We start from the raw sequence: 9,624 nt of genomic DNA, 5'->3' as shown, positions 1-9,624 counted from the left end.
ACATTTTATTAATGCATTCTTTCTTAGTATCATAAAGTCTACAAGTTTCTTTTCTAAATAATCTTTATTTTCTTTTCTGTGAACTCAAAATGTCTTAGATTTTCTAAATTTGTTACTAAACACAGGCTTTCTTAAATTACTACTACTCTTCCTTAAAGAAGATGTTAGTATGATTCTAGTAAAAAGTAAGTTATCTTGTCAAGAACTAGAAATCAGTTGTCCTGTTAAATACAAAGTCATCATTTAATGGTTTAATGTGTGTGTATTTAAAAACAGATGAACATGCTTTTTCTGATTTAGGCTATAGAGTTATACAAACCTAAATTTGTTAATTATTTCTTCAATATAACTATCAACCACATAGTATTTATAAGATGAATTTGAATACGAAAACAATTATTCTCTCCATATCAAAGTAATAATATATTTGCATCCTGATAATTTGGTTTATATTTGCTCTGACACACTATTTTTATGGCTGGATTTGTCTTTTTTGAGATTTAGTGTCCAACAATTGATAACTCATTACTGTATACTTGAGACTTCTCAGGAAGATTTGCTAAATACATGGCAACCACTATCTGAACAGGGTCATAAGTTTATGGACATACCATATTAGAAGTTACAAGCATTTCCTGAAAAATCTCACATCCTCCAAAACTGTGCACTAAATACGACAAAGTGCATGGGGAAAATGGAATTAGGAGCAGTAAACTCGAAACTTTGCAGTCAAAGAACTAATAGGATCAATAACGGTCTTTAAGAAAACATTATACAGTTAAAGAGACATGCTAAATTTTTAAATAAACAAAACAATGCTACGGAATATATAAGACATTACCTTAAGAAAAAATGATAGTAGCTTGACAGAAGTGGACATAAGGAAAGTTGAGGTTGCTAAATGATAGAGCAGAGAAAACTGAATAAAGATCTGAGAGTATCACTCTCAACAGGCACATCCAAGACAGAGCGCCGGGCCAAACAAGGAAGCGGAAATCTGAGTGTGAAAATACAAAACTGGGCTCCTCTATGGCTTGCTGCTTTCAACCCTGCACTTACTTTCCAATTTGCTGCTGTTACTGTACTTGAAAGTGCAAAGCATTAACGTGCTTGAAAAACAGATAAACTATTTTATTCACATTATTTCTCAATTTGTCCATCCCATATGAGCTAATTTTGCTAATTCTCATTTCAGAAACACATATTATAGCCAAACAAACCTAACCTGAAGAGATTACCTTTGCCCCTCATCTCTAGATTAGTGAATACACATCCAATGTATTATTTACCAGATTGTAATCATTTAAAAATATCTTATAAATAAATTAAAACCTCATTATATGGAGCCTTAATTTATTGTACCCACAACATACATGTTAAGATTAAGTTTGGAAGAATAAGATAGCCATTAGATTTTCTTATTGTCTCCTTGGGGTTTCTTGTGTATTAAGTTTGGGTTTTTTAACATTTGAAAAATTTTTAGACACACTTTTTACCCCATTTTAACCCATAATTTCAGGTTTATCTAAGTAACTTTTAAACTCTAATTAAAGTGGGTTTGAAATAAATGGCTTCCACATTTTATTAGTCCTGTTATGTGCTGCCAAAGGTACTTTTTATTTCACCAAAATTAAAATTTTCATGAAACAAAAATACAGTTGTTATATAGTTATTTTTAACTTTTTAATGTGCTTTCACACTTACCATTTTATCAGAAGTAACTATCCTCTGGAGAGTCTGAACTATACACCAGATCTACTTCTGCTACAATTTCCCTAATAATGAGTCCTTGGATCCTCAGCATGAAAATTATTTTTTCAAGGCAAATGATTTTTTATGGCAACATTTTATTTAAATAATTTCTTTCTCACCTAAATTTTCTCACCTTAAGTTAGTTTAAGGGCACAGATGTTACCTTTTATGAGCTTGGTTTCCAGGTTCCTTGACCGTTCAAAGTTGTTTGTTTTTTAATCCCCAGACAGGTATACTTCTTTTCCAGACTTTAATCTCTCCTTCTCCGGAAATCCACTTCTCTGCTTCATTAAGCCTCCCTGTAATATCCAGAATTAAATCTCATACCTCATTTATTGTTGTGGTTGTAGATTGCGTTTTTTCTCCATGCAGCACTGGAAAGGACTTTGAAAGGAATGACCTGAAGTTTTCATCATTCAATTTATAGTAATTTTTACTTCTAGATAGTTGTGGAATAAGAAGTTGTTTAACCTAAAAAGGAGAGAGAGGGAAAAAAAAGAATCATTAAAAGTACTGGGAGAGGGGAAAGGAGAAGGGCAATAATGGCTTTCTGCTGATAATCGAAGGGATTTGTCATGTGAAGAAATAGTATTTTTCTGTATAGTTTTCAAGAAGAGCCAGGACCACTTGGGAGAATTCCTAAAATGCACAAGATATCTTATCAAATGAGTTTACGAGTCTCAATCCATTTCAAATCTTCTGCGTCTTTTTTTTTTTTTTTTTTTTTGAGAAAGACTGTCACTCTCTCACTCTGTTGCCTCATCTAGAGTGCAGTGGCACAATCACAGCTCATTGCTGCCTCAACCTCCTGGGCTCAAGCAGTCCTCCTGCCTTAATCTCCTGAGTAGCTGGGACCACAGGTGTGCACCGCTACACCCAGCTAATTTTTTGTAGAGACAAGGGTTTCATTATGTTGCCTAGGCTGGTCTTCAACTCCTGGCTTCAAGCAATCCTCCCACCTCGACCTCCCAAATTGCTGGGATTACAGGTGTGGGCCCTCTGCGAGACTTTGACTAAAGGCCAATTACAGCAAAACAGAATCCTGCGGTGCATTAGAACAAAGACAATGAGGATGAATGAACCAGGTTCAAGTCCAGATTCTGCTGCAGGAAAATTTGTATGACATTGGGTGAGTTTTTTTACTTCTCTTTGCCTCAGTTTCCTTGTCTATGAGATTGAAAGTAGTGTCATAGAGTTTTCGTAAGGATTAAATTAATGTATCTAAAACATGCCTGACAACTTGTATGCATCATCTGTTAACTCTAAATATTAAGTTATTTTGTAAGAATTTCTGTGCTCTTCTAAATTTTTTGGAATTGGAGAATAAAATTTAAGGCAGCCTATGTGTCTGAAAACTCTTCCTTCCACTTTTCCATAAGTACAGAATACATTTTCATGAAAATGCACAGATTCTCAAGAATAGGGACCTTTGATTTGTTCAGTGATGATTCCCACGCAGTAGGAACAGCTAGTCTGTAGTAGGTGCTCAGTAAATATTGAGGAGCCCTAATTAGGGAAAAGGAGTTAGGCTGGTGGAGGTAGCAAGGGAAAGTAAAGAGATAAAGCAAATAAGCTATAAGTCTGCCTTTCTTCATGGTCCAGGACATATAAACAAAAGAGGAAGGAGATGAGCTATAGGTCTGCTTTCCTTTATGGCCCAGGATAGATGGTCCTCCTGCACAGATAACATACATAACTCACAAACTTCCTGCTTACCCTCAAATGCCTCAATTTATCAAATGCCTCGGCTGACAGAAGAATGCCATTTAAGCTCTCTGCTGCTTTGGCATTATCAATCAACCCAAGAACCATCCTATAAAATCTCCAGCAAGCCTTTGTTTCCTTGCAGTCAGCCTCTCTTCTGCTGGTCTGCCCATTGCCTTCTCACAAGATATTTTCCTACTTTCTCTAATAAATCTGCGTTCTTTACCTACAACTGCCGTGGTAAATTCTATTACCCCTGCACCACTGGCCGAGCTAGTCATCACTCACCCGTGACAAAAATGTATTGAAGAAATAGATGAAAATGTCCAATTGCCTCACATTTTGAAGAACAAATAGATGTATTTAGAAAGGTTATACCATGATAATTCCATTTAATCCAAAATGAAGGCCTTGTTTGTCATAATCAGGACACTCAAAAAAAAAAGTCCTCAAAGTCAGGAAATGTCTAATTTCTCTGTTTCGCTCCTTTTAAAATTTGCACTGGGCCAGGCAAGGTGACTTATTCCATCACTTTGAGAGGCCAAGATGGGAGGATCATTTGAAGCCAAGAGATCAAGACCACCCTGGGCAACATAGTGAGATCTCATCTCTACAAAAAATTAAAAAATTAGCTGGGCATAGTGGTGTGCACCTGTAATTCCAACTAATTGGGAGTCTGAGATGGGAGGATTGCTTGAGCTTAGGAGTTTAACGCTGCAGTAAGCCATGATCACACCATTGCACTCCAGCCTGGGCGACAGAGTGAGATCCTGTCTCAATCAAGCAAGCAATCAATAATCTTCACTGGAAATGATCCCTTGATGTATTAGTTTGTTTTCACACAGCTGATAAAGACATACCTGAGACTGGGCAATTTACAAAAGAAAGAGGTTTTTTGGACTTACAGTTCCACGTGGCTGGGGAGGCCTCACAATCCTGGGAAGGTAAAAGGCACGTCTCACATAGCGGCAGAAAAGAGAAGAGAGCTTGTGTAGAGAAACCACCCTTTTAAAAACCATCAGATCTCGTGAGACTTATTTACTACCAGGAGAACAGCAGGGGAGACCTCAGCCCATGATTTGATTACCTCCCACTGGTTCCCTCCCACAACACGTGGGAATTCAAGATGAGATTTGGGTGGGGACACAGCCAAACCATATCACTTGATAAGTGATATGTGGCACTTTTCTATTCTTGGCATTTTAAACATCAGTATGAGTCTTTTGGTGAGAGGGCAAACATATGGAGCATAGACCAGGTGCAGAGCTGGCCTGCAGTAAGAAGGCTCCAGAATTTTTATTTAAATGATAACAAAAGAGATTAGTATATAATATGAACCCCATAAACCATGTGTTTCACTATCAAATGATCAAGGAGTAAACCTTTTAAGTGCATTGATGGTTTGGTAAATCTTGGCATGGGTCTAAGGTGTGTGGTTTTCTGCTGTGAATGGATGATTGAAATCTGTTCCAACTGTATTATTACTGGTTCCCCAGCCCCTCCCACTCCTTTATGGATCCCACCCCATTGGCAAAGGAATTAGCTCATTTCCAAATAAAAATTAGGTAATTAGTTTGACATATCAACAAATGCATAAACTGTGTAAAGTTTCTCCTATTAAATCTTTCAAAATCTGCACATAATACCACAAAATTTACATCTTATACTTTGTGAATGACCATGTTAGTGTCATTAATACTCAGATATTTGTACCTGAATGAGGTTCAAGATGGGACTAGGAAATCTTAGAAAACATTAGCAAAATACACCCACTCAAAAGACCTAGGTTTATTCTTTCATTTACTATGACTTGGACCAACTATGTATACTCTCTAAATTTCAGTTTACTCATTTATAACACAAGAATGTTAATCCCACCTTACAGAATTATTGTGTTAAATGAGATAATGTATGTAAGAAAACTGCCACATAAAAATATTAAGAAAAATGTTATTGTGAATAATAATATTTATGATATTCATCAATTTATTAAAAAATATTTGCTGAGGACTAAATATACATCAGGAACTGCTCCACCCTGTTGGTAGTGAGAGGCATTCATTTGACTCTAGACAAAAATAAACTTTTTTATTTTTTTGAACAGGGTCTGGCTCTATCCCCCAGACTGGAGTGCAATGGCACCATCTTGGCTCACTGTAACCTTGGCCTCCCAGGTTCAAGTGATTCTTATGCCTCAGCCTCCTAAGTAAATGGGACTACAGGTGCTCAACACCACACCTGGCCTATAACATATATATACATATATGTATATATGTCAGTTGGAAATAATTTTAATCAAAGAATTGTATATTTTCTTCCCACATATCCTGCCTTGTATTAGGAAATGACATTGTGATCTATTTCATTACAAGCAAAATATTATAAAATATTTACAGGAAAACATTACAAATAACCCAAACACAAAAGGCAAGGTGAAATAAACTGGCTTTTCAGAAATCTCTACTCCAGTGCCCACAGCACATAAGAATAGAGTCAAAACAAATAAGCAACTAAGATCCCCCGATCACAAATTTCCAAAGGGGAAGAAGCAGGGTGAAAATGGTGGTGTGAAAGGGAATGGATGTTAGCAGCACTGCTTCAATAACTTATCTATTCTGAATGAAATACCCTCTTTAATGTGCAGCAAATTCTGAACAAGGCTAAATTTTAGGATATTCCTTGAACTGAAATTAGAAAATACCCTGACAATGGAAGCAGCTCTTTCATCTAAGTTTAATAAGAGCCTCTTTCTCCATGGGCTACTGTTGTGAACAGAGGCCTGTTCTGGCATCAAAAGCTGTCACAGTAGCCCTTCCATCTCTTTCATGAAATCCTCATAGACATCATCCTTAGTTTGTACTGAGACAGGAACAGAAGGACCAGATTTGGGTGCTGCTTTGGCAAGAGGCACAGCAGAATTATCCTCTGACTTTCTTTGGGAAGCAGCAGTAGCCCTTTTATTCTCCCGACGTACTCTCAATGCACTGGGCACAAATCGAGTAATCTCTGCCTTGGGATTAGTGATCTGTGGTTTGGCAGTGACGGTTGCTGTGGCTTTCTTCTCAACGGTGGCTGCACTTGTATTATCTACCTTGGATCGCTGAATCAAGCCGGGTGGGGCACTTAAAATCTCAGGGTTCAGCAAGGGAGCTGGTGGGAAAAGCCCAGGGGGGCAGATCCCAAGGGGAGGTACCAAAGCTGGGTGCATCGTGCCAGGACAAAATATCTTGCATTAGCAAGTATATTTGCTCTTGTATTTGGTATTTGGACTAAAAGCCAAAATGAGCTTATGGTGAAGCCTACAAACTCCAGGAATACCTGGAGGTGCAGGGGGAGGTATCCTTGGTGGGGGTTCCCGAGGAGGGGGACCAGGGGGCAGACTTGGAGGTAGACGTGGGGGAGGTAGTAAAAGTCGGTGGTCGTGGAGGTAAAAGTCAGGGTAAAGGCCGAGTCCTGGCATTCCAGGTGGTCTCAGGAGGAGCTCCTGGAGGTGGTCCAGGGGGAAGGTTCATAGGTGGCCTAGGAGGCCGTAATGGTGAAGCATGGGAGGTGCTTGTACCTGAGAAGGAGGAACAGACTGCCGGGGAGCCTGCTGCTGTGAAGAAGCAGTGGATGTGCCATCAGAATGCAGTTCCTCTTGATTGTGTTTTTGTGATTGTTTTTCTGCTTTAGAGTCATCAGAATCATCTTCATCATTGTCCTCTGAAAATTCCTCTACTTCCCGTCCCTCCTCAGGGATTTCTTGACCTGCCATACGAAGCATCGTGGCTTGAAGAGGAGTCAGTTCCTTCATGGTTTTTTTCTTCCTTGATTTTCCAGGCATATCTGCAAACCGTACACTCAGACCTGACTTCTTTTTTTCATTGTTGTCTCTCCCACCATCATCATGGCGCACACTTTCTCAATCTGATCCGTCGGTGTCACTGTCATCAGTACTGTCATCATGCTTATCTTGATCCACGTCCTCAGGATAGCCATCATCTTCACTGGTGCTAAAAACATCATCATCATGACCTCGCTGGGCAATTTCAGGACTATGTACCATGCCTTCATCTCACCTAGGAGGGGGAAGATCTAGGGCAACACCCACTTTACGGCCATACATCTGCACGACTTGAGGAGGGGGTGGACCAGGGGGAGGGCCAAGAGGTTTTCTGCCAGGAGGCAAATGTGGAACACCACGTCCCAAGAAGAGAAGGATAGAAACTGCCTGAGTTGGAGGTCCACAGGCTGAGGGTTTCTTAAGGATGGAGGGTGGCTGGGCACCAGGAAGTGGAATTTCCTGGATCAAAATGTTAGAAGAAGCATGTGGCATATCTGGTAAAGGAATACTCTCCACTTCCACGTGCTGGGCATTCTCGACAGCATTCAAATATTGGTTGAGTCCTCTTCTGTTCATACTCTATTTCTAGCTTTCTCAATTCTTTCTAAATATCTGGATCCTCTTTTTCATAGAGTCATAGAATATGTTCAAAGGTTTCACACAGCTATTTTTACGCTTGTCTTTCAGTACTTTCTCATTTAATTGTGGCTGTTGCACTGGGTTAAACTCCATTTCATCCAATTTCTCCATGTCTCGGATCATCTGTTTGGGATCCTTCATCTTTAAAACTTCAGCTCAAACCATCATGAGCTGTTTTTTGTTCTTCTGTTCCGGGCTTCCTTTCGGGCTTGGTCTGTGGGGTTCATAAATTTTCCACTCTTGGTGGATGATGCAGATCTCCTTCCCATGTTGACAATTTGTATGGTTTACTTGTTCATTTAAAAAAAAAGAAAAAGAAAAGAAAAGAAAAACACTTCTGCTGTGCTCCCAGGACTGCGAGCAGCCAAGAGGTGCGATTCCTGCCCTCTTTCACTTTGTAAGGGCCTTCAATTCAGCCTGGCGGTCAACCCTTCAGCCCCGCCATCTTGAAACCTCACGCCCCTCTGCAATCCTTACGTCATTTCCCATTCCTCCGTCCCGCTGTCTCTCCAGTCTTTGCATTTTTAATAGAGATAGGGTCTCGCCATTTTGGCCAGGCTGATTTCAAACTGCTGGCCTCAAGTGATCTGCCCACCTCGGCCTCCCAAAGTGCTGAGATTTCAGGTGTGAGCCACTGCATCCGGCCGAACATAAACTTCTTAATAAATGGTGCAATCAAATATGCCTGGTTGCATGATATAAGTCTGCAGTGGGTTCAGTGAGAGCACAAAACTTCCATTCTACCCAAAGAGGTGGTGTCATAAAGAACCTAACTGTATTAGTCATCGTCCCAGCAAGAGAGAAATAGCACACTCAAAGGCTACATGACAAGGGTTTACTGGAAGGACTATTTAACGAGACAGGTCAGGGTTAAAGGAGCTCACAGGGATGGTGAAGGTCCCAAGGATGAACAGGAAGGGGAATAAGTTAACACCCCCAGGCTGAAAAGGATGCGGAGGTTTGTTTCCAGTGTCAAGCGAAAGCTGTAGCCATGGGAGCTGTGGCGTTGGTCAAAGGAGCAAAGCCACTGCTAAACCACAGTCCAGCAGGGATGAAGGTGTGAGGAGGTGGAGGCCAAGTGGTTCAGTTAGATGGTGAGGGCATTTTAGGGAGATAGCACTACAAAAACAAAAATACAGAGGTGTGGGAGAAAACCATGTCACATTGCTGGAATTGGAGTGTAGGATGAAGTAGAAGTCAGATCATGAAGGGCCTAGTATATCACGCCAAGGCATTTGGACCATATCCTATATAACCAATAAGAGCCTGTGCCCCATAAATGACTAAAATACTCTGTTGCTAATTAAGTCCCTGTGTTTGTCTTGTGGGTTGGGTTGGCGGAGCCGGGAGAGGGGGGAGGTTGAGAGATCATTTTGAGTAGTTTGTGTCTGTTTCCCAGCTTAAGACTTTTCTGAACCAAGGCTGCTAATACAAATCACATATGTTATGGAGGACACTGTACCATTCCTAATTATTTTAGGGTAATGTATTTAGTTACACACTAAATTAACACTAATTGAAGTTGGAAGAGGTTCAGAAAGCAATTAAATATTATTTGGAATTGAACAGTGGAGTAGGTTATGTTGCTCTTTCAATACAGAATTCATGCTGAATGATTGCACTGGGCTAAATTGACATTTTTCCCCTGAATTCCAGCAAGCAATCCAGTCTTCTTCACTTTTGTCCAGATCACATGAAAATAAGAC

The 9,624-nt window shown here is 39.9% G+C and overlaps 1 pseudogene across 1 annotated transcript; it reads right to left on the bottom strand.

Moving 5' to 3' along the window:
• Positions 1 to 5,412: 5,412 nt before the first annotated feature.
• WBP11P1 (WBP11 pseudogene 1) lies at positions 5,413 to 8,384 on the bottom strand (annotated as a pseudogene). The gene has a single exon (NR_003558.2). The product of NR_003558.2 is annotated as a WBP11 pseudogene 1 (transcript).
• Between the last annotated feature and the right edge of the window lie 1,240 nt (positions 8,385 to 9,624).

This window comes from Homo sapiens, chromosome 18, assembly GCF_000001405.40.
Source record: "Homo sapiens chromosome 18, GRCh38.p14 Primary Assembly".
Taxonomy (NCBI): Eukaryota; Metazoa; Chordata; class Mammalia; order Primates; family Hominidae; genus Homo; species Homo sapiens.
This window is presented reverse-complemented; position numbering and strand designations above follow the sequence as displayed.